Source organism: Homo sapiens, chromosome 11 (genome assembly GCF_000001405.40).
Source record: "Homo sapiens chromosome 11, GRCh38.p14 Primary Assembly".
In the NCBI taxonomy this organism is placed as follows: Eukaryota; Metazoa; Chordata; class Mammalia; order Primates; family Hominidae; genus Homo; species Homo sapiens.
In genome coordinates, this window is record NC_000011.10 from 117,194,283 (window position 1) to 117,215,980 (window position 21,698).

Below are 21,698 nucleotides of genomic sequence, written 5' to 3' on the forward strand. Positions count from 1 at the left end.
AGCCTGGACGATAGGCCATGTCTCTAAAAAAAAAATTTTAAACATCATTTGGGAACACCTACCATAGGCCAGCACTTTCATAGCGGCTTCCCCAGTTAATCCTCCTAGCATTCCAGCCTGGAGATAGCTCCAGTTTACTTACGAGACAGATGAGGCTCAGAGAGGCCAAGTGACTTCCCCAGGGCACATAGCCAGTGAGTGGCACAGCTGGCATTTGAAGCCAGCAAGGCTTGGCTCTCTTCTCTGCCTTGCAGGACACCTACCACATGTCAGGCTTTAATTCTGGGAATAGAACTAAGTCTGACATGGTCTCTGAGGGACTCATAAACTAGCCGAAGAGGGCTAGAAGGACTGTTGGTGCATGACTGTTAGTGCTGTTTACGATGTGATACATGAAATGAAGGGCACAGGCAAGACGGGGCAGGAGGACAGAGGACTAACGGGTCTCTCCGAGTTAGGAGTCCAGGAAAGCTTCCTGGAAAAAGTGCGCCTTGTTCTGGGCTATAAAAGTCTTGGGTGAGGAGGGCTGGGCACGGTGGCTCACGCCTGTAATCCCAGCACTTTGGGAGGCCGAAGCGGGTGGATCACGAGGTCAAGAGATTGAGACCATCCTGGCCAACATGGTGAAACCCCATCTCTAGTAAAAATACAAAAGTTAGCTGGGCGTGATGGTGGGCGCCTGTAGTCCCAGCTACTCGGGAGGCAGAGGCAGGAGAACGGCTTGGACCCGGGAGGTGGAGGTTGCAGTGAGCTGAGATCTCTCCACTGCACTCCAGCCTGTCAACAGAGCAAGACTCTGTCTCAAAAAAAAAAAAAAAAAAAAAAAAAAAAAGTCTTGGGTAATGGAGAAGAGCCCCATGGCCCAGACCTACTGTGACCTTAGTAATGATACAGGGGCAGATTTGGAGGTCAGTGAATGCACTCATTTGGGAGCCAGGCAGACTGTGAGCTCCCTGAGGGTGGGGCAGGTCTTGGTTATGTCTGTGGCCTCAGCATGTAGCACAGACAGACACAGCCTGGATGAGCTTATGGGATAGAGCTTATGAGTAGAGCAGGGAGGACCTTGAGTGCCACAGGTTATGGCTACTGTCCCGGAGCAGGTGTGTAACCTGACAGTAGTGCTTTGGAAAAAACAATGAGCCTGCAGAAAGATTAGAGCAAGGGCGGAGTCCAAGGCCGGGAAGTGGGTGAGAAGGCCTTCTGCCATCTCTGAGCTGAAGGCCTTCAAGGTTGTTGCAACCCTGTGCTCTTAGGTCAAGGGAAGAGAATCAGAAGGAAGGAGGAGGGTAAGAGTGAAAGAAAAGGGAAGAGAAGCCAGTGAACTCAGGGAGAAGTTTGTAACCAAAGGCCATTTGTTAGATCGGGAAGGGGTAGGGACAAGGACAAGGGACAGGTCAGAATTGCTGCTGTCCTGCCTGGGGCTGGAGAGAGGGGTGCCCAGGAGCAAGATGGCAGATGGGTCTGGCCCTTGCCCTGCCAGAGCAGGGTCATTCGGCAGTTTTTCTTGTTGCTCCCCAAGAAAACCCCTGCAGAGTCGAGGGAGCACAACCGGGACTGCATCCTCCTCGACTTCTTTGACGACCACGACATCTGGCACTTCCTCTCCTCCATCGCCATGTTCGGGTCCTTCCTGGTAAGCGGGCCTCCCGGCCGAGCCGGGTGGGTACGTGAAGGTAGCAGCTGCCTCCTTCTCTGTGGCTGATCTGGCGTCCACACCCCAGGTGTTGCTGACACTGGATGACGACCTGGATACTGTGCAGCGGGACAAGATCTATGTCTTCTAGCAGGAGCTGGGCCCTTCGCTTCACCTCAAGGGGCCCTGAGCTCCTTTGTGTCATAGACCGGTCACTCTGTCGTGCTGTGGGGATGAGTCCCAGCACCGCTGCCCAGCACTGGATGGCAGCAGGACAGCCAGGTCTAGCTTAGGCTTGGCCTGGGACAGCCATGGGGTGGCATGGAACCTTGCAGCTGCCCTCTGCCGAGGAGCAGGCCTGCTCCCCTGGAACCCCCAGATGTTGGCCAAATTGCTGCTTTCTTCTCAGTGTTGGGGCCTTCCATGGGCCCCTGTCCTTTGGCTCTCCATTTGTCCCTTTGCAAGAGGAAGGATGGAAGGGACACCCTCCCCATTTCATGCCTTGCATTTTGCCCGTCCTCCTCCCCACAATGCCCCAGCCTGGGACCTAAGGCCTCTTTTTCCTCCCATACTCCCACTCCAGGGCCTAGTCTGGGGCCTGAATCTCTGTCCTGTATCAGGGCCCCAGTTCTCTTTGGGCTGTCCCTGGCTGCCATCACTGCCCATTCCAGTCAGCCAGGATGGATGGGGGTATGAGATTTTGGGGGTTGGCCAGCTGGTGCCAGACTTTTGGTGCTAAGGCCTGCAAGGGGCCTGGGGCAGTGCGTATTCTCTTCCCTCTGACCTGTGCTCAGGGCTGGCTCTTTAGCAATGCGCTCAGCCCAATTTGAGAACCGCCTTCTGATTCAAGAGGCTGAATTCAGAGGTCACCTCTTCATCCCATCAGCTCCCAGACTGATGCCAGCACCAGGACTGGAGGGAGAAGCGCCTCACCCCTTCCCTTCCTTCTTTCCAGGCCCTTAGTCTTGCCAAACCCCAGCTGGTGGCCTTTCAGTGCCATTGACACTGCCCAAGAATGTCCAGGGGCAAAGGAGGGATGATACAGAGTTCAGCCCGTTCTGCCTCCACAGCTGTGGGCACCCCAGTGCCTACCTTAGAAAGGGGCTTCAGGAAGGGATGTGCTGTTTCCCTCTACGTGCCCAGTCCTAGCCTCGCTCTAGGACCCAGGGCTGGCTTCTAAGTTTCCGTCCAGTCTTCAGGCAAGTTCTGTGTTAGTCATGCACACACATACCTATGAAACCTTGGAGTTTACAAAGAATTGCCCCAGCTCTGGGCACCCTGGCCACCCTGGTCCTTGGATCCCCTTCGTCCCACCTGGTCCACCCCAGATGCTGAGGATGGGGGAGCTCAGGCGGGGCCTCTGCTTTGGGGATGGGAATGTGTTTTTCTCCCAAACTTGTTTTTATAGCTCTGCTTGAAGGGCTGGGAGATGAGGTGGGTCTGGATCTTTTCTCAGAGCGTCTCCATGCTATGGTTGCATTTCCGTTTTCTATGAATGAATTTGCATTCAATAAACAACCAGACTCAGTTCTTGGGGCCCTTGTTTGCACTCCCTCTGGGTGGAGCTGTTGAGGATGAGGGGAGAGGCGGAGGTCTTCCATTTCCCCATTCTTCAAGCCATGGCCCTACTGGGAACTGCAATTCCTTGATTCTCCCGTTTTTCCTGTCCCTCCAGCAACAGCATTAATTCAGTAAACATTTACCGGGGCACTGTGCTGGACAGAGGCCAGTTCCTGGAAAAGCCTTTCCCACGCCATCCCACTGCAGACATCCCTCCTTACCTCCCCAGGAACAGCAGTCTCTGCCCACCTGGCCCCGCCCACCAGACTGAGGCTCACTTCACCTCTGACCTGAGCGGCCCCCAGCTCACCAAGCCACAGGCCCAAGCAGTGCTCCCTGATGCGGCGTTTATAATCCGCTCAGCGTGCAGGCCGAGGCAGGAGGGTGATGAAAGCTGGGCAGGCTCCAAGAGGAGGGAGTTTTGATATGTCCCTGAAAGATTCATTTAGACTTCAGTCGGCTAAGGAGGACATGATTTGGGGGCCAAGGAATCTGTTGAATTCAGAACACAACCAGAGGTCTGCAGGGTCAGGGATGGAGGAGTGGGCTTTCCCCTCGCCAGGGCCCACTCCTCTTCCTGCTTTTCCTGCAGGCGCCACTGGGAGGTGCTATGGCTGTGCCTCCCCTGGGCTCTGGAGCATGTCCAGTTGCAGTGGGCAGAACTGCGGAGGCGGGCCCCTCCTCTGCCAGGCCTGGCAGCCCCCTCCTAGGGCCTTGTTTGGCTAGGGGTGGTGCCGGGTGTGGCAGTGTGTGTGTAGTGGAGAGTGTTAGGTCTTCCCTACCAGATGCCCTTGCAGGGGAGTGCCACAGCAGTCAGTCCAGGGATCCCACTGTTAGTCTCACCTTTTTTAACCTCTTATCTCTCCCCAAGATCCCTGAAGCCAGGTACGAGCAAGATGAGAGTGGGTTATCTCTGGAGTGACAGAGGCTGGTCTGTTTTCCAGGCTGGTAGGGACTGTTCCTAAAGGGAGGAAGGGATGATACCAGCCTCCTGAGCCTCCTTCTCCTGCGTTAGTGTCTCAGGCCCTGCCAGGCCTTATAGACCCTCTTATTGACACTGCCCACTGGATGGGGACCGGAGTTGGACTCAGCTTCTGCCGAACCCTCAAATCCCAGCCCCAACTAAAGCATATAACTCAAGACCTACCTGCACTGAAAGCTCTTCTCAACCTGAGCAGGGTGGTCCAATTGAAAGGGTGGGTCTGACCACCTCTCCTGCACCCATGCGGGTTGGCAGAGGTGTGCAGGATCTGCCACTTACCATTCACCATGTGGCCTTGAGGAAGACGCACTCGGGGCCTCAGTTTCCTCATCTATAAAATGGGGATGTAATTACACCCTCACACTGTAGCTGTGAGTATTCAATGAGAGCACTGCAAAGGGCCTGGTGTGGAGTAGGTCCTCAGGAAAGGTTGGATCCCATGTCCCATCAGAGCTAAAAGCCCCAGGAGGAGAGGGTGGCTGGTTTGTCCCCACAAACCCCTGGGATTCCCGGCTCCCCAGCCCCTTGCCCCTCTCTCCAGCCAGACTCTATTGAACTCCCCCTCTTCTCAAACTCGGGGCCAGAGAACAGTGAAGTAGGAGCAGCCGTAAGTCCGGGCAGGGTCCTGTCCATAAAAGGCTTTTCCCGGGCCGGCTCCCCGCCGGCAGCGTGCCCCGCCCCGGCCCGCTCCATCTCCAAAGCATGCAGAGAATGTCTCGGCAGCCCCGGTAGACTGCTCCAACTTGGTGTCTTTCCCCAAATATGGAGCCTGTGTGGAGTCACTGGGGGAGCCGGGGGTGGGGAGCGGAGCCGGCTTCCTCTAGCAGGGAGGGGGCCGAGGAGCGAGCCAGTGGGGGAGGCTGACATCACCACGGCGGCAGCCCTTTAAACCCCTCACCCAGCCAGCGCCCCATCCTGTCTGTCCGAACCCAGACACAAGTCTTCACTCCTTCCTGCGAGCCCTGAGGAAGCCTTGTGAGTGCATTGGCTGGGGCTTGGAGGGAAGTTGGGCTGGAGCTGGACAGGAGCAGTGGGTGCATTTCAGGCAGGCTCTCCTGAGGTCCCAGGCGCCAGCTCCAGCTCCCTGGCTAGGGAAACCCACCCTCTCAGTCAGCATGGGGGCCCAAGCTCCAGGCAGGGTGGGCTGGATCACTAGCGTCCTGGATCTCTCTCAGACTGGGCAGCCCCGGGCTCATTGAAATGCCCCGGATGACTTGGCTAGTGCAGAGGAATTGATGGAAACCACCGGGGTGAGAGGGAGGCTCCCCATCTCAGCCAGCCACATCCACAAGGTGTGTGTAAGGGTGCAGGCGCCGGCCGGTTAGGCCAAGGCTCTACTGTCTGTTGCCCCTCCAGGAGAACTTCCAAGGAGGTGAGGAGTGTGTGAACGCACCTGTGTTGGAGCACGGTGTCCCACTCTGGCGGGTCCCCAGGGCCTGAGCAGCAGCGATAGCCCTGTGACAATGTGAAGGGCCACAGAACTCTTGTATTCCAGTCAGGGGCAAAGAGTGGAGACGGAAGGCCTGTCCTTCTGACAAGCAGCCCCTTCCACTGTCTGACAGTGGGAGGTCACCCCCACTGTAGCAGAGGGGTGGGGGGCGGGTACTGCCAAGGAGGAGCTTTGGAGTGATAGGCGGGGCAGGCCTGGGACCCTTGGTCTTTCCCAAAGGGTGGTTCCCTTTCGAAGTTGCTATTCCAAAGGTAGCAGTGAGGATGGCACACATTTATGTAGCCAGGCCACTCCTGTTTGTCCGTGGAGTGGAGAGGAGCCACCCTCCTGCCCTCTCAGAGGTCCAGGTGTGCTCACTCCTATTTGGGAAGAGAGAAGGGGCACAGCAGCCCTGCAGGGGCCCCTGGCTCTGCTCGTGTTTCTGGGCTTCTGCTGGTAGGGGGTGCCACCTTCCCGTTTGACCCTGGACTTTCTTTCTCCACTGCCCACTTTCACCCACTGGGCAGCTCAGGGGAGGGGTCCTGGCAGGAGCCACAGGGCAGGAGGGTCCATGCCTGTCCATGCTGTCCTGGGAGTGTCTTGAGATGCCCCTGGGGGGGCCGCCCTGTAATCATCCTCCTCTCCCCCTCCCCACTGGCTCGAAGGCAGGACTCGGGAGGCTTCATCAGAGGACTCTAAAGGATTTCTGGGGATTCTCCACTTTTCGACCCTGACCCAGGAGGAGGAAGGGGAAGGATGGTGGTGCTGGGTGGGAGTGGGGATGGTGTGTGCTTCATCCCCCTCTGACCGAAATCCTAATCTTGTCTCTAGATCTGGGGGCTGCAGCGTTGTGTACCTGTCACCCTTAGCCTTGCTGCTTTGACCTGTATTGTCTGTTCTGACCCTCCTGAGACTGGAAGCTGGGGGTAGGGGACACACTCTCCTTCCATCCTGTTCCTCAGGAGCCCAGCAGGGGTGCAGAAGGGGAAGGCAGACATGAGGGCAGGTGGAGTGGGGGTAGAAGCAGGGCCAGAGACAGAAGGTGGATGCCTGTCTGGGATGGTGGTGCAAAGGCTGAGACAGAGGCTGGGGTGGATGGAAGCCAGGATGCAGGGCTACCAAAATCACCTGGTCCCAGCTGACTTGGGGGTTTGGACCACAGTTCTTTGTGCAGGAGTCCTTGGGTGGTTGGGGAGCGGGGGTGGGACACACAGGGTGAAGGGAGGGATTGGCTGTTTGTAGCTGAACAGCAGAACAGAGCACTCTGCCTTTGGGGTCTCTGGCATCACTGGCAGGGAGAGGGGTGGCTGGGCCAGGAGCCCACCTCATCCCCAGTGCTCAGAGAACTGGGTCCTCAGAAGTGGTCCTGCCCCCACTTTACACATAAGGAAACAGACGCAAGGAGGAGAGGGATGCCCAATGACGGGCACTTCGATGAGTCCGTGTGAACTCTGTTCCGTGTGAGCTGCTGCGCGCTCAGGGAATGATTGTGAGAAGCGGGTGGAGGCTGGAGTGGGCAGCAAAGAACTGACATTTTGAGGTCAGTTTTTCACTCCTTGGTCAAGGGCAGGCTCTCTCCCTGGTCATTACCAGGAGCCTGGCTCCGGGCAGCAAAGAACTGACATTTCGAGGAGCTCTGCTAAGGGCCAGGCAGTATGTGAGGGAGTTCACAGACACCGTCCCATTTTCACAGCCCTCTGAGGTTGGTAACATAACCCCCACTTCACAGATGAGGAACTCCAGCCCAGAAAGCCTGTCAGCCCTGAGAAAGGAAGGGCAGGGCATCGGGCTGGGCAGCTGGCCTGGGACCAGTGGGGTGTGATAGTGTTGGCTCTGCTTCCCGCGGGTGGGGTGCCAGTGGGGAGGGGTCTCACCAGAGAGGGAGCCGGGGGAGTGCGCTCCTGCGTCCATCCTCAGACCAGCGTGTCCCTCCCAACCTCTGACCCCTCTGAGGCCAGGGGATGGGTTCGGCTTCCTTTGGTACCTCTTTTGGAAGTCTCTTCAGACAAACACTGGAGAGAAGGCACAGCACCCTAGGGTGACATCAGTGGACAGGTCAGTTTCCTGTTCCTGTTCCCAGCCACCCCTGTCTGTCTGCCCAGGGACCTACCTGCCTGGCCCACTCCTGCTGCCACCCCTCTCCATGAGTGGGACTCCTGAGCAGTGCCAGGCCCAGGCCCTCAGGGTGGCAGTTGCTGGATGGGGCCAGGCTTCCCATTCCCTGGCAGGCAGACTCTTGGCTCTGGAAGATCCCTGGGGGACTCTGACTTCTTGGTTACTCAGGCTACTCCGTAAGGGTAGCCTTACGAGAGCGTAAGGGCATGAGGGGAAGTCGATGGGTAGACCAGGTGTCTCTGATTTCTCTGAGGAAATGCAGCTTCTTTGCCAAGAACTCTTGGGCTTTGGTGGCTTCGTCGCCCTTGCCTGGGGTGGGCGAGTTTTAGTCTCTTCAGCTGCAGACCAGAAGCTGAGCTGACCTGAAAAGAGCTGGAGTTCTGGAGTTCGGGCTTCCAGGCCAGGGCCTGCTTCTGGGTGAGAGTGGGAGGTAATGGTTGCTTGAGGCAGAGGCAGTAAACCCTCACACCCGCAGCTGGACAAAGGCACCAGCTGGCTGTATTCTGTGGGGGCAATGTGGCTTCTGGAAGGTCTCTCCAGTGGCTCTGTAGCTGGTCTTGGCAAAGAATGTTCTAGACCAAGGGTTGTCAAACTACAGCTCATGGGCCAAATCCAGCCTGCTGTCTGCTTTTGTAAGTAAAGTTTTATTGGAACAAAGCCATGTTCATTTGTTACATATTGTCTATGGCTGCTTTCACACTGCAACAGCAGAGACCATGTGTCCTGCAAAGCCTAAAATATGTTCTGTCTTATCCTTTACAAAAACAGTTTACTGACCCCTGCTCTAGACCTCCAAAGACCTGGTATCCTCTTTCCTGGTGTTCAAGTTCAGAGAGGTGTCTGGAGTAGGGGCTGAGCCTGGCCTGGATGGGCAGTGCTGTGACAAGTGTCTAGGATGGCCGGGTATCCTGCACAGAGCTAGAAGGCTGCCTGGCACGGGTGAAAGCAGAGCTGCTCCCTGACCCTCTGCCCCTCCCTCCTCCACCCTGGCCTGCTTTAGCTTTCCCCAGACATGGCCAACAAGGGTCCTTCCTATGGCATGAGCCGCGAAGTGCAGTCCAAAATCGAGAAGAAGTATGACGAGGAGCTGGAGGAGCGGCTGGTGGAGTGGATCATAGTGCAGTGTGGCCCTGATGTGGGCCGCCCAGACCGTGGGCGCTTGGGCTTCCAGGTCTGGCTGAAGAATGGCGTGGTGAGTGGCACCCTGGGCTAGGGCGCTGGGGGGCTGGGGTGTGCCACCCTGTGAGTCCTGGGCCAATCCCTGAGCTGACTGCTAAGCTGCGTCCTATGCCCTATGCCTGGTAGATTCTGAGCAAGCTGGTGAACAGCCTGTACCCTGATGGCTCCAAGCCGGTGAAGGTGCCCGAGAACCCACCCTCCATGGTCTTCAAGCAGATGGAGCAGGTGGCTCAGTTCCTGAAGGCGGCTGAGGACTATGGGGTCATCAAGACTGACATGTTCCAGACTGTTGACCTCTTTGAAGGTAGAGAGGAAGAGGCTGGGGGAGGAGGTGGGCAGGAGGACAGGGTGCTGGGACAGGGAGAGGGAATGACCAGAATATGCCACAACTAGGGGTGTGCTTGCCCGCACACAGCAGGGATGGGATATGCCGAGAATAACACGCCACGCTCACAGGGCCCACTGAGAGGCCTCCCTTGAATTGGGGACAACTCTTGGCCCTGGTTTGGCCATTTTTTTGTGAGAGACGGGGGCAGGCCCTGGCTTGGAGTCTTGTTTATACGTTCTTGATGTTCATCTCCTCTCTCCTGTCTTCTCACAGGCAAAGACATGGCAGCAGTGCAGAGGACCCTGATGGCTTTGGGCAGCTTGGCAGTGACCAAGAATGATGGGCACTACCGTGGAGATCCCAACTGGTTTATGAAGTATGTGGCCCCCAGGGAGCTTGGGTCTCCGCATGGGGTGGGAGGTGGCTTGTTCTAAGGAGCTTGCGGGAAGGATTAGGGGAAGCAGATAGCCAAGAAAGGATAAAGTGAGGGTCTGGGATGGGGAATAATGGGTCCTTAATACTCCTTGACCCCTCCCTTTCCACCCTCCTGCGCTCAGTCTCCCTAGCCTATGAGGCAAGCTAGATTAGGGAAAAAAAGTGCAACAGGAAGGCAATGGGATTGGGCTAGGACGTAACAGAGGGATCAGAAAACGGGTGGAAAACACACAGTTCTACCAAGTCTTTATCCTGGTTCCTCCTCTTCTAGGAAAGCGCAGGAGCATAAGAGGGAATTCACAGAGAGCCAGCTGCAGGAGGGAAAGCATGTCATTGGCCTTCAGATGGGCAGCAACAGAGGGGCCTCCCAGGCCGGCATGACAGGCTACGGACGACCTCGGCAGATCATCAGTTAGAGCGGAGAGGGCTAGCCCTGAGCCCGGCCCTCCCCCAGCTCCTTGGCTGCAGCCATCCCGCTTAGCCTGCCTCACCCACACCCGTGTGGTACCTTCAGCCCTGGCCAAGCTTTGAGGCTCTGTCACTGAGCAATGGTAACTGCACCTGGGCAGCTCCTCCCTGTGCCCCCAGCCTCAGCCCAACTTCTTACCCGAAAGCATCACTGCCTTGGCCCCTCCCTCCCGGCTGCCCCCATCACCTCTACTGTCTCCTCCCTGGGCTAAGCAGGGGAGAAGCGGGCTGGGGGTAGCCTGGATGTGGGCCAAGTCCACTGTCCTCCTTGGCGGCAAAAGCCCATTGAAGAAGAACCAGCCCAGCCTGCCCCCTATCTTGTCCTGGAATATTTTTGGGGTTGGAACTCAAAAAAAAAAAAAAAAAATCAATCTTTTCTCAGGCCTGGCTGGCAGAGTTTGATTTGCCCTGGTCACTTTTGTTATGGTTTCAGATCTGCGCAGGGGACAGGCAGGCATCTCGGGCTTGTATGTGTTCCTGGCTGCCGTCCTCTGAAGGACCCTTCATGTGCCAAGATTCCAGGACAGTCAGATTCTTTCAGAGGAAACAGGCCATAGAACAGGAGAGTGAATCTTGGGGACCGAAGGGAAAAAGGAGCCACTCAGCAGCATGCAGTGGCTTTGGGGAGACAGAGGAAAGGAGAGATTGCGAGTGGCAGAATTGTTTGGAAGGTTTTTATTTTGGAAAAGCTGTGCAGAAAAAAATTCAAGAAAATGTTGCTGTGAAAAGAGAAAAACAAATCTTAAGCATTAAAAAAAATTCAACCAACTAGCTCAGAAGAGGGGAGAAGGCCAAGGTTGAGAGAAGAGTCACAGCCTGTCAGGCAGATAGCTGGCCTCCGGCGGGAAGGCCATTTCCCTGAGCACTTGCAGAGGAAGACAGGGTGGTGGCAGGACTGGAGTGGCAGTGGCTCCCAAGGCTCTCTCCTCCAACATGTGCATCTGCCATCTGCTCTGCAGTCCTGCCGCAGGATTCCCTAGTGAAGCAGCTCAGGCCTGGGGGAGCCGTGTGTATCCCAGCTGTGCCGGCAGCATCATACCAATCGTGGGGGTGGTGAAGGAGCCAGGGGTTCATTCATGGTTGGTTTCTGATCAGGCATCTTGGGAATGGATAATGGAGGCAGCCGCTTTCAGGACAGGCATGTCCAGGGGCTCCTCCCAGCCTCTACCCCGAAGTCCTCTTCCCAAGTGACCCCAGTGATGTTTCCATTGAGATGCGCTCCTGGCTATGGCAGGCACCTTCTCAACTTATATGTGGGAAGGGGTCCCCCATGCTTGGGGGACCTAGGCAGCTGGCTTGGCCCAAGAGAGATGAGGATGGAGGCCAAACCAAAGGGGGGCGCCAATCCCCTGTCCAACACCTTCTCACCAAAAGCTCCCGTTTGGCTGGAGGCAGACCCTGTGGCTCTGACCAGACTTCTCTGGCAGCAATCCTCCACCATTTGTATCTTAAGAAGGCCCTCACCCTCTTTGAGTGGAGTCAGAGGATGCCTCAGATTCCAGATGTAAGCATCAGAACTGCTTTCTGTCAAGAGCTCCCTAATTTTGGGAAAGAAGAGCCTGTCCCACACTGTCAGGCCCTGAGGTCAGCAGATCTGCTCCTCCTTCCCGTGCGGTACGTCTAGGTGCTGATGAGGGCAGTCCAGGGCGCTCTTGTTCTGGGACAGGCTCCAGTCCCCTTGCTCCAGCAGGTCTGGGGCAAGGAGGTCAGAGGTGGTGGGAGGGCCCCTGCTCTCTGTTTCCACTTCGTCTGGATCCTTGCTGCTGCAAAGTGGCACTGATTCTAGCTCTGTCCCTTCCTCCTTGGCTTTCCGGCTCCGATGGGGCCAGTGGCAGGGTCCACTCCTACAAACTTGATTGGAAGCCACATTCCTCTGGCTCAAATATACTTCCAGCATGTAGTAAACAGTCCAGAAGACGGTGAAACAGCCTACCAGCACCAGGGTCTGGGGCCGAGGCAAGCACCTACGTGAGGCACTGTTTCCCGAAGCCTACAGCCTTTCTCAGCCCAGGACAATGAGCTCAGAAAGTCTTTTTCCTTCTAGGGACTGCCTTTTTCACCCAAACTGTTCCCTCTGCCCCCTCCCCCGACAAGGCCTGTCCTGTAAGAGTTAGGCTAGCAGGGTAGGAGCAATGCTATGAAACCACTGCTGGGACCCAGGTCTTCCCAGTCCTTCACCCCGCAGGTCACCCTGAGAAACACACTAAGAACTCCATCCCCCAGACAGGACAGTCCCATCTACCCGCAGCTTGAGTCTTGGCCCTAGTACCTTGAGGGTGTTGGGGGTGATGGTGTAACCATCTTCCTCAGGAATTTTCAGCCCCGGTGGGCAGGGCAGGGCGAAGTCATCGTGCAGGTATTTTCCACTCATGGCACTCTCTAACAGCCTGTGGAGAAGAAAAGAGGTGAGGATGCCCCACTGACTATGGTTCCTATACCATCTGCCCTCACCCATTTTCCTGCCTTACAGGTGAAGACAGGGAAGCCCCACAGCAAAAAGGAGAGGCCCAGACTGTGAGTTCCCAGCCCGGGGCTCCATCTACCGGCTTGACGCTGGAACTGGGAAGCACAGCTGGGGTTCAGAGGGCGATGGGCTCCCTAGGCGGCCCTTCCCCTGTGACTGGCCTTCCCTCTGACACATGCGGCTTTACCCACCTTTGTCTGTCCCTGATGTCTACTGCACTCCACACAGAGCCATATAGGGTCAGCTGCCATTGCCGGAGGATGCCGACCTGGAATGACTCATCCCCTAGGGCAGCAAGGGGCAGCTCGTGAGCCACGCCCCTCTGTCAGCCATGCCAGACAGCAGAGGCCCTGCCCGCCCTGCCACCCAAAGGGGCTCAGGCCACATGGTCTGCTCCAGGAGCTGCCTCACTGTGTCCCACTGACCCCAGGTTCTGCAGAAGGGCCTCACTGGGTGCCCTTAGGGATGGAAAGGGTTGAAAGGCTGTACTCCAAAGCAGAGTCTTGCTTTTCTCTCCCGTATTTTGGGGGTTCAGCTGGGATTAGAAAAAAATGTCTTTCCACCAAATTAAAGAAAGCTTTGAAAACCACTGGCCTAGAGAATACCTAACTGACTGGAGGATGGGAGGGTGGAGCTCAATTTCCAGTCTATAGGCTGATACTAAAGATATTCACAATTCATGGATATTGTGGCCTTCACTGATATGGTGACCTTCCACAAGTCACCTCAAACCTCTGGGCCAGTTTAAAAAAAATGGTGAAATGAGTCCTGCCCTTACCTGCCTACCGGGGCTGGCCGAAGGATGGTTATACGTAAAAGGACTTGAAATGTGGTTTCGACAAGGACTTTTTGTTGCTATCCTGAGGAAAGATGGATGGGTCACTCCTCCAGGGAATATGAGAGGTAGTATAAATGAACAGTTGCAGAGAGCAATGCCCATTTCACGGATGGGCACACTCTTGGCATCAACTCTCTTGGTCCAATGGCAACCCTATATATTGCACACGGGACACTTTCTGTGGGGACTCTGAGATGCAGAGGGACCAGATAACAAGCAGGAAAGGTAGGGCCTGGTGTGAGGGCACGAGACTCACCGACATCCCTGATGACAAGCCTGTAGGTCCCTCGGGCTCTCTCCCCCCAGCATCGCACAGTGGAGAAGGTCCAGTCATTGAAGCCGTTGGGATCCCTGAGGAAAGAACACAGCAGAAACAGGTGGAAGGCGTGGGCCAGAGAGCTGACCTTCCCCCAGCAACACTTTCTTACTGTAGTAGCCGTGGAAACAACCTGGGAGGGTGCCACGAGGGCTTCTCAGGTGCCCCTTTCCCCTGGGGTCTCATGGAAGGAGGAAATTGTGTTAACGTGGTGTGGTGGAAAAAGCAAGCATGGAGCGCGCACAGGCTTGGAGTCCCACGGATCTAGGTTTATTCTTGTTCTCTTGGGCACTTACTAGCTCCATGACTTGTTTTCTTTTTCTTTCTTTTTTTTTTTGGAGACAGGGTCTCACTCTGTTATCCAAGCTGGAGTGCAGTGGCATGATCACAGCTCACTGCAGCCTTGACTTCCTGGGTTCAAGTGATCCTCCCACCTCAGTCTCCTGAGTAGCTGGGACTACAGGCATGTACCACCATGCTCAGCTAATCTTTAAATTTTTTGTAGAGACAGGGTCTCACTTTGTTGCCCAGGCTGGTCTTGAACTCCTGAGTTCAAGTGATTCTCCTGCCTTGACCTCCCAAAGTGCTGGGATTACAGGTGTGAGCCACCACACCCAGCCAGTTTCCTCATTTGTAAAAGGAGGTTACAAAGTCTAATCTAGGGGGTTCTTAGAAGGATTAGAGAACATGTATGTGAGGTGCAGGGCCTAGCGCTTGAAGAAGGTATGTGACGAAAGGCTTCCAGCCGCCAGGGATAGCCAGTGCCACAGTAGTTTAGGACAGTGCCAGGATCCACTTCTTCCATTTCTTTTCCCTGGAAAGGCCCTTGCTGAAAAGGTTGCTCAGGCCTCGGGCGGGTGTACATACGAGTCCATGCTGCGGGGGGCGCCGATGAGGGACATCATGCCACTGGGGCAGAACAGCTTCAGCTCCAAGCTGCCGCGCCGTGGGTGAGTGATGGAGACTGTCACTGCCACATGCTCCAGGGTCTTCAGCCCTGACATCTCCAGGTCCATCCTGCTGACTGTAGAAAGTCAGGCTGGGCAGCTGGGAAACCAGCCCACAAACACGCCTTCACTTCACCCCCACGTACACAAAGACACACGCTCACTGAAGCCACATACAAACATCTACGGCAACCCTAACTGGGACCTCGCCTATACTAGTAAATGGAATGGAGCTGCTGCTCTCAAGTTTACAACGTAGCTTCGAGTGCAGTTGGGAAGACGACACATACCCAAGACACAATATAAGAATCCAGCAGAGCAACTTCAATCATTCATTCATCCAAAACATTATTTACTGGGTACCTCCTCCATTTCAGGCACTGTACTAGATGCTGGGAATATAAAGATAAGATGGGCGTGGTCCCTGCCTCCTACCTGCAAGTGGAAAATGATATGGTATGGGAAATATACATAATTGATAAGGGAAGAGAAATAAGTCAGATGGGTTTAGGCACACAGCAGTGAGACACACTGAAGGAAATGAATACAGATCGGTAGACAGGGTTGGTAGAGGGCATTCTAGGCAGTGGAAAAGGCATGAACAAAGACGAAATGCACACATCTCACTGAAGATGATGCACAGTTAATTTTTAAAAAATGCTGGTGGATAAATTTCAAGCAAATTATGTGAGTGAAAAAAGCAATCTCAAAAGAAGCATATAGCCAGGTGTGGTGGTGTGCACCTGTGGTCCCACTACCGGGGAGGGTGAGGTGGGAGGATCGCTTGAGCCTGGGAGGTGGAGATTGCAGTGAGCCATGCTCATGCTACCACACTCCAGCCTGGGCAACAGAACAAGACCCTGTCTCAAAGAAAAAAAAAAAAAGAAAAAGGATGCGTAGCACACAATTCCATTTAGGTGATGTTAATTGAAGTACCTGCAGTGATACATAACAGATAAATGGGTGCCAGGGGCCAGGGACAGGGGAGGGGATGGGTGTGGCCAGAAAGGGGTAACACAAAGGAGTCTTGTGATAATGGAATTGTTCTGGATCTTGGTTGTGGTGGTAGTTATGCAAGGCTACATGTGATACAATTGCATACAGCTACACACGCGCATACACAAATATTGACAGCATGTGTATCTGGTGAACTCCAAATAAGCTCTATGGATTGTACCAATGTCAATTTCTTGGTTTTGATATTATACTTTAATTGTGTGAAACATTAAGATTGGGAGAAGGGTGCACGGGACTTCTCTTGTACATTTCTTTGAAACCTCCTGTAAATCTACAATTATTAAAACAAAAACAAAAACAAAAAACTACTGAAGAGGAAGACTCAACTGGGGACTATTAAGAAATTAGGCTGTAATGAGAACGATTCTTTTTTTTTTTTTTTTTGAGACAGAGTCTCTCTCTGTTGCCAGGCTGGAGTGCAGTGGCATGATCTTGGCTCACTGCAACCTCTGCCTTCTGGGTTCAAGCGATTCTCCTGCCTCAGCTTCCCAAGTAGCTAGGACTACAGGTGCACGCCACCATGGCCACCTAATTTTTGTATTTTTAGTAGAGATGGGGTTTCACCATGTTGGCCAGGATGGTCTCAATCTCTTGACCTTATGATCCACCCGCCTCAGCCTCCGAAAGTGCTGGGATTACAGGCGTGAGCCACTGCACCCGGCCGAATACAATTCTTTTTAAAGCACCCTTTCTTCCATTAATTTATTCCAGGCCAGGCATGGTGGCTCACTCCAGGCATGGTGGAGGATAACTTCAGCCTGGGAGACATCATCTTTACAAAAAAATAAAAAATTAGCTGGATATAGTGGTAAGCACCTGTGGTCCCAGCTACTCAGGAGGTTGAGGGTGGGAGGATGGCTTGAGCCCAGGAGGTTGAGGCTGCAGTGAACCATGACTGTGCCTCTGCACTCTAGCCTGGGCAATAGAGTGAGAGCCTGTCTCAAAAAAAAAAATTATTCCAATATGCAAGGCAGAGTACAATACCTTGATTTTACAGACACAGTAGCTCAGAGAGGCACTGAAAGTAGGGGCTGGGTAACCTAGGGTGGGATGCGCTTTAAAGATTTTTGTTTTAAATAAGCAACTAAGAGCTATTATAGATGACTGAGCAAGGACAGGGGTGTTTGTTTGTTTGAGACGGAGTCTAGCTCTGTCACCCAGGCTGGAGTGCAGCGGCTAGATGCTTGGCTCACTGCCACCTCTACCTCCTGGGTTCAAGCAATTCTCCTGCCTCAGCCTCCCAAGTAGCTGGGATTACAGGCGCATGCCACCACGCCCAGCTAATTTTTGTAGTTTTAGTAGAGACGGGGTTTCACCGTGTTGGCCAGGCTGGTCTCGAACTCCTGACCTCAGGTGATCCACCTGCCTGCCTTGGCCTCCCAAAGTGCTGGGATTACAGGCACGAGCCACCACACCCAGCCTCATTTTCTATAATTCCATCTGTCACCTCTTCAAAGCCAATGTCCCATTTCTTTGAAAACAACCTCTCTCCTTCCACTTTCCCCACTCTCTTCTTGACCCCCTCATTTTCCCACAACCCCTCAAGCTCCTTTCTCCTAACTGGCTGAGATTCCATGGCTCATCCAACATGTGTGTTTACATTCTCAAGCTCCCTTCACTTTCTTGTCCTTTCACAGCAATACTTGGCAAAAGTCAAACAATGGCTCAGCCTGATTATCCATCTTCTTGGCTAGACCTTTTTGCTAGCACCTTTCCTACTACAAATGAAAAACAAAAACAAATAAACCCTTTCTCAGTTCTTCACTTCCTGCCACCTACCAGTGTTAAGAGCATGGGCTCTGGAGCCACTAAGCTTGGGTTCTAATCCCAGCTCTGCCACTTACTAGCTGTGAGAACTGTTTCCTCATCTGTAAAATGGGGCCAGTAACAGTACCTACTTCATAGGTTTGAGACGAGGATTAAACAGTTAATATACCTAAAGCGTTCAGAATGGTACCTAGCTAATGTTAAGGCTACATATGTATCAGATATTATTTCTTTTCCTGTATTGTCAAAATTCTTGAGAAAGCTGTTTAGATTCACGATGGCTACTTCTTACCTTCCCAATTGTCCTTGACATTTTTTTCTATTAAAATAGTATGCATGAATTTAAATGTAAGTTGGTGCTACAGTGCTTATAATGAAAAAAAAAATTCCCTACCACCTTTGAGATCTACTCCCCAGAAGCAAACTTTTTTTTTATTGTTTTTAATTGTTTTCTTCTGGGATCTACTTTCGTGTTTCTAAACAGTAAGCGTTATGGATATTTCATGGCTTATCAATTTGAGACATTATGCATTGACTTTCATTTATGGCAGATGAGAATCTAACAAATCATGCCCACACCTTTTCCCCAGTTGTCGTCCCCTCCACATTTACAAAATAATTACATCACAGTTTTTTTTCTTTTCTTTTTTTTTTTTTTTTTTTGAGACGAAGTCTTGCTCTGTTGCCTAGGCTGGAGTGCAGTGGCACGATCTCGGCTCACTGCAACCTCCGCCTCCTGGGTTCCAGCGATTCTCTTGCCTCAGCCTCCCACCTCCCAAGTAGCTGGGATTACAGGCATGTGCCACCATACCCAGCTAATTTTTGTATTTTTAGTAGAGACGGGGTTTCACCATGTTGGTCAGGCTGGTCTCGAACTTCTGACCTTGTGATCCACCTGCCTTGGCCTCCCAACGTGCTGGGATTACAGGCATGAGCCACCGTGCCCGGCCTTTTCTTTTTTTTTTTTTTTTTGAGACAGAGTCTTGCTTTGTCGCCAGACTGGAGCACAGTGGCATGATCTCAGCTCACTGCAACCTCCGCCTCCCAGGCTCAAGCCATCTTCCCACCTCAGCCTCCCTAGTAGCTGGGAACTGTAAGTGTGCACCACCATGCCCAGCTAATTTCTGTATTTTTTTGTAGAGACAAGGTTTTGCCATGTTGGCGAGGCTGGTCTCGAACTCATGAGCTCAAGCAATCTGCCTGCTCCAGCCTCCCAAAGTGCTGGGATTAGAGGCATGAGCCACTGTGCCTGGCCACCAGTTTCTTTGAGAAACCTTCCCTTTCTTCCTTAGTGGCAGGAGACATCTCTCTGCTGTGCTCTCAAAGCACCTGTGTTGTCCCTGTTGCAGTGCCTATAACACTGCACTATGCCTATAAACCTCACTGTCTTCCCTACCAGGTTGTAAGCTCGTTGAAGGCAGGAATAGTGTCTTATCCCCGAGTCTCTAGAACTAATACAGTGCCTGGGATGAAGTAGGCCTCGAATATTTGTAGAATGAATAAGTCGATTGAGAGATATTTCACAGAAAACAACAAAAAGATTAAATTGCAAGGGAAAGGGCTGGGGAAGACCTGGGAAGAGGCGAGGGATATTAGAGGGATGAAACACTCGCGCGTTTCAAGTTTGGGGGCCTAGGGAACGGTGACGGCACTGACACGAATGGGAAAATCTTAGAAAGCAAGCCAGCTTTTGAGAGGTGATAGTGAAATCTAAAATTTTGTACATGTTAAGTGTACTGTATTGGTGGAATATCAACAGCACACAGTGATTTAGGAACAGAAAGATGATGGAAAATATTTATGGCATAGTTAGAGGACAGCATTGATGTGGCAGAGAAGGGGCTTACAGGAGAGAAATGACGTTATGGAACAGAATAGAATCCCAAAAGGAAAAGAATCCCAAAAGGAGTGCTTGTCTGCGTTCGCAGTGTACGCAGTGGCATGCTACATCCATTTACTTCTTGGTGTGGATGCGGACTTGGGTGGCAGTGCAAATGAGTACACTAGAACTCTCTCTACCAGAACTAAATGAGTTAATGCATTAAATGAGCTAACGCTGCGAACAGTGATTGGCACATAAAAAGCATCTTATTATGTGGCCTTTGGTAAATTGGAATTTTTTCAACAGTCACTCTCTGTCCCAGAAGACGCCAGGGTTCTATTTGCCCATAATCTTTTTCTTTTCTTTTCTTTTTCTTTTTTTTTTTTTTTTTTTTAGACGGAGTCTTGCTCGGTCACCAGGCTGCAGTGCAGTGGCATGATCTCTGCTCACTGCAACCTCCACCTCCCAGGTTCAAGCAATTCTCCTGCCTCAGCCTCCCGAGTAGCTGGGACTACAGGAGCCCGCCACCATGCCCAGCTGATTTTTTTGTATTTTTAGTAGAGACGGGGTTTCACCATGTTGGCCAGGATGGTCTCGATCTCCTGACCTCGTGATCTGCCCACCTCGGCCTCCCAAAGTGCTGTGATTACAGGCGTGAGCCACCGTGCCTGGACTATTTGCCCATAATCTTATGGAAGCTATGCTCTAGTTTCTATCCTTTCCACTGGTGAAGGATCAGAATAAGAGATTTAGGTCGAGGACTCATTTGTGGAGAGGTGGTAGCTAAGGTCATAAACATAGCTGTACTGTCAAGGAGGATGATGTAGAGTGAGGAAAAAGTCAGGAAACAAGCCTTAGAAGACACTCACAGTTCAGGAGTATGAAACAAGTACCTCAGGCAGAGAAGGCAGAGGAGGGCTATGGAGCCAAGAAGGCCGCCACAGAAGCTACAGGAGGAGAGACGTTGCAACAAAGACCTCATTAATAGGGTCAGAGTGACAAGAATGTTAAAAAGGATGAACTCTGAACCAGCCCCTGAACCGGTCAGGAAAGGGGCACTATGAGTAAGAAAGCAAGTCTTCTGTGGCAGAGGGAGTGTGTGACAAAGGGGAGAAATTGCTTCAGTTCATTCATTTGAAAAGTTGCCTGGTTGGAGGTAGCAGGGACTTGCATTTGAAGGCAGAAAGGAAGAATCAGCAGAGAGGGAAATGTTGGTTAAAGAGGGAAGACCTGGAGAGGAGAAGGAACAGGACTCACTGCGTAGGCAGAGGCTTAGCCAGTATCCTCAAGACTGCAAACGACAACAAAAGGAGAGGTGCAAGTGGGTGTTCAGGCACCTTCCAATCACAGACTCTCTGAGTGTGAATAACACACTCCTCCAGAGCCCCACTCTCCCTCCTACCCTCAGGTAGAGATTTCAGACCAGCGTCAGATCTAAAAACCCCAAGAGGCCCCAATCCCCTCTCCCTCATAACCTCCTGTCAGCGGGGAGAGAGAAAAATCAGTCTTGCTCTTTAGCAGCACTTCTCAATATGGTAGCCCTTAGCCACACATGGCTATCTAAATTAAAATGAAGTATAACAAAATTAAAATTTAGCTCCTTAGTCATACTAGCCTTATTATTATTATTTGAGATGGAGTCTTGCTCTGTCATCCAGGCTGGAGTGCAATGGCACAATCTTGGCTCACTGCAACTTCTGCCTCCCAGGTTCAAGCAATTTCCCTGCCTCAACCTCTTGAATAGCTGGGACTACAGGCACGTGCCACCATGCCTGGCTAATTTGTGTGTGTGTGTGTGTATATATATATATATATATATATATACTTTTTTTTTTTGAGATGGAGTCTCGCTCTGTTGTCTAGGCTGGAGTGCAGTGGCACGATCTTGGCTCACTGCAAGCTCCGCCTCCCTGGTTCACGCCATTCTCCTGCCTCAGCCTCCCGAGTAGCTGGGACTACAGGCACCCACCACCACGCCTGGCTAATTTTTTTGTATTTGTAGTAGAGATGGGGTTTCACCGTGTTAGCCAGGATGGTCTCGATCTCCTGACCTTGTGATCCACCCGCCTCAGCCTCCCAAAGTGCTGGGATTACAGGCGTGAGCCACCGTGCCCAGCCAATTTTTGTATCGTTTTTTTTTTTTTTTTTAGTAGAGTCGAGGTTTCACTCTGTTGGCCAGGCTGGTCTTGAACTCCTGACCTCAAGTGATCCGCCCCTGCCCTTGGCCTCCCAAAGTGCTGGGATTATAGGCTAGGTATGAGCTACCACGCCTAGCCTATTATTATTTTTGAGACAAGGTCTCGCTCTGTCACCCAGGATGGAGAGTGCAGTAGTGCAACCATGGCTTACTGCAGCCTTGGCATCCTGGGCTCAAGGAATCCTCCTGTCTCAGCCTCCC

General features: G+C 52.8%; 3 protein-coding genes and 1 long non-coding RNA gene across 13 annotated transcripts in view, besides 9 other annotated features; 2 read left to right on the forward strand and 2 right to left on the reverse strand.

Moving 5' to 3' along the window:
* The window catches only part of SIDT2 (SID1 transmembrane family member 2), an 18,700-nt gene extending 15,540 nt beyond the window's left edge, over nt 1-3,160 (forward strand). The window contains exons 25-26 of the mRNA NM_001040455.2: nt 1,520-1,633; nt 1,722-3,160. Of these exons, the coding sequence (NP_001035545.1) occupies nt 1,520-1,633; nt 1,722-1,784 (177 nt within the window). The 3' untranslated portion in view covers nt 1,785-3,160. The remainder of the gene's footprint in view (nt 1-1,519; nt 1,634-1,721) is intronic.
* Nucleotides 1,331-7,632, reverse strand: LOC100652768 (uncharacterized). The gene is made up of 8 exons (NR_045215.1): nt 7,479-7,632; nt 5,569-5,630; nt 4,455-4,506; nt 4,037-4,154; nt 3,504-3,625; nt 2,948-3,122; nt 2,726-2,864; nt 1,331-1,752 (listed from the first exon to the last, which is right to left on the reverse strand). It is a non-coding gene; the product is annotated as an uncharacterized LOC100652768 (long non-coding RNA).
* Nucleotides 1,813-2,312: an enhancer, noted in NCBI's record as "H3K4me1 hESC enhancer chr11:117066811-117067310 (GRCh37/hg19 assembly coordinates)". NCBI's record gives its function as "activates a minimal SCP1, AML or CMV promoter by ChIP-STARR-seq in naive H9 embryonic stem cells {active_cell/tissue: H9 hESC(naive)}" and the evidence as "EXISTENCE:reporter gene assay evidence [ECO:0000049][PMID:30033119]".
* Nucleotides 3,645-4,308: an enhancer, noted in NCBI's record as "H3K27ac-H3K4me1 hESC enhancer chr11:117068643-117069306 (GRCh37/hg19 assembly coordinates)". NCBI's record gives its function as "activates a minimal SCP1, AML or CMV promoter by ChIP-STARR-seq in primed H9 embryonic stem cells {active_cell/tissue: H9 hESC(primed)}" and the evidence as "EXISTENCE:reporter gene assay evidence [ECO:0000049][PMID:30033119]".
* Nucleotides 3,711-4,005: a silencer, noted in NCBI's record as "tiled region #8526; K562 Repressive non-DNase unmatched - State 12:CtcfO". NCBI's record gives its function as "represses a minimal TATA promoter and a strong SV40 promoter by Sharpr-MPRA in K562 cells {active_cell/tissue: K562}" and the evidence as "EXISTENCE:reporter gene assay evidence [ECO:0000049][PMID:27701403]".
* On the forward strand, nt 5,012-13,183 carry TAGLN (transgelin). Of its 2 annotated transcripts, none has more exons than NM_001001522.2 (5): nt 5,012-5,547; nt 8,720-8,911; nt 9,025-9,202; nt 9,500-9,602; nt 9,933-13,183. In NM_001001522.2, exons 2-5 carry the CDS (start codon nt 8,732-8,734, stop codon nt 10,075-10,077), a joined length of 606 nt encoding a protein of 201 aa, NP_001001522.1. In that variant the 5' UTR covers nt 5,012-5,547; nt 8,720-8,731; the 3' UTR covers nt 10,078-13,183. The 2 variants fall into 2 exon arrangements, with proteins under 2 accessions (NP_001001522.1, NP_003177.2); NM_003186.5 differs by having other exon boundaries at nt 5,088-5,150; nt 9,933-13,182.
* Nucleotides 7,633-8,296: an enhancer, noted in NCBI's record as "H3K4me1 hESC enhancer chr11:117072631-117073294 (GRCh37/hg19 assembly coordinates)". NCBI's record gives its function as "activates a minimal SCP1, AML or CMV promoter by ChIP-STARR-seq in primed H9 embryonic stem cells {active_cell/tissue: H9 hESC(primed)}" and the evidence as "EXISTENCE:reporter gene assay evidence [ECO:0000049][PMID:30033119]".
* Nucleotides 10,055-21,698, reverse strand: part of PCSK7 (proprotein convertase subtilisin/kexin type 7) — a 27,737-nt gene continuing 16,093 nt past the window's right edge. For 2 of the 9 annotated variants that reach the window (NM_004716.4, XM_006718940.5), the window contains 5 exons: nt 14,615-14,771; nt 13,688-13,782; nt 12,785-12,878; nt 12,399-12,516; nt 10,055-12,074 (listed from right to left, as the gene is read on the reverse strand). In NM_004716.4, coding sequence (NP_004707.2) covers nt 11,715-12,074; nt 12,399-12,516; nt 12,785-12,878; nt 13,688-13,782; nt 14,615-14,771 — 824 coding nt within the window. In that variant the 3' untranslated portion in view covers nt 10,055-11,714. Of the gene's footprint in view, nt 12,879-13,370; nt 13,454-13,687; nt 13,783-14,614; nt 14,772-21,698 lie in introns of those variants that run through there. The other 7 variants (XM_047427861.1, XM_047427865.1, XM_047427863.1 and 4 more) reach the window with 7 other exon arrangements.
* Nucleotides 11,475-12,105: an enhancer, noted in NCBI's record as "H3K27ac-H3K4me1 hESC enhancer chr11:117076473-117077103 (GRCh37/hg19 assembly coordinates)". NCBI's record gives its function as "activates a minimal SCP1, AML or CMV promoter by ChIP-STARR-seq in primed H9 embryonic stem cells {active_cell/tissue: H9 hESC(primed)}" and the evidence as "EXISTENCE:reporter gene assay evidence [ECO:0000049][PMID:30033119]".
* Nucleotides 12,106-12,736: an enhancer, noted in NCBI's record as "H3K27ac-H3K4me1 hESC enhancer chr11:117077104-117077734 (GRCh37/hg19 assembly coordinates)". NCBI's record gives its function as "activates a minimal SCP1, AML or CMV promoter by ChIP-STARR-seq in primed H9 embryonic stem cells {active_cell/tissue: H9 hESC(primed)}" and the evidence as "EXISTENCE:reporter gene assay evidence [ECO:0000049][PMID:30033119]".
* Nucleotides 12,737-13,367: an enhancer, noted in NCBI's record as "H3K27ac-H3K4me1 hESC enhancer chr11:117077735-117078365 (GRCh37/hg19 assembly coordinates)". NCBI's record gives its function as "activates a minimal SCP1, AML or CMV promoter by ChIP-STARR-seq in primed H9 embryonic stem cells {active_cell/tissue: H9 hESC(primed)}" and the evidence as "EXISTENCE:reporter gene assay evidence [ECO:0000049][PMID:30033119]".
* Nucleotides 14,208-14,708: an enhancer, noted in NCBI's record as "H3K4me1 hESC enhancer chr11:117079206-117079706 (GRCh37/hg19 assembly coordinates)". NCBI's record gives its function as "activates a minimal SCP1, AML or CMV promoter by ChIP-STARR-seq in primed H9 embryonic stem cells {active_cell/tissue: H9 hESC(primed)}" and the evidence as "EXISTENCE:reporter gene assay evidence [ECO:0000049][PMID:30033119]".
* Nucleotides 14,709-15,209: an enhancer, noted in NCBI's record as "H3K4me1 hESC enhancer chr11:117079707-117080207 (GRCh37/hg19 assembly coordinates)". NCBI's record gives its function as "activates a minimal SCP1, AML or CMV promoter by ChIP-STARR-seq in primed H9 embryonic stem cells {active_cell/tissue: H9 hESC(primed)}" and the evidence as "EXISTENCE:reporter gene assay evidence [ECO:0000049][PMID:30033119]".

Excerpts from the sequence above, each read along its gene's own strand:
- TAGLN (NM_001001522.2), top strand. The coding sequence starts at position 8,732 with ATGGCCAACAAGGGTCCTTCCTATGGCATGAGCCGCGAAGTGCAGTCC. Across the intron at positions 9,203-9,499 it reads GACTGTTGACCTCTTTGAAG|GCAAAGACATGGCAGCAGTG; the intron begins GTAGAGAGGAAG and ends GTCTTCTCACAG. Across the intron at positions 9,603-9,932 it reads GATCCCAACTGGTTTATGAA|GAAAGCGCAGGAGCATAAGA; the intron begins GTATGTGGCCCC and ends CTCCTCTTCTAG.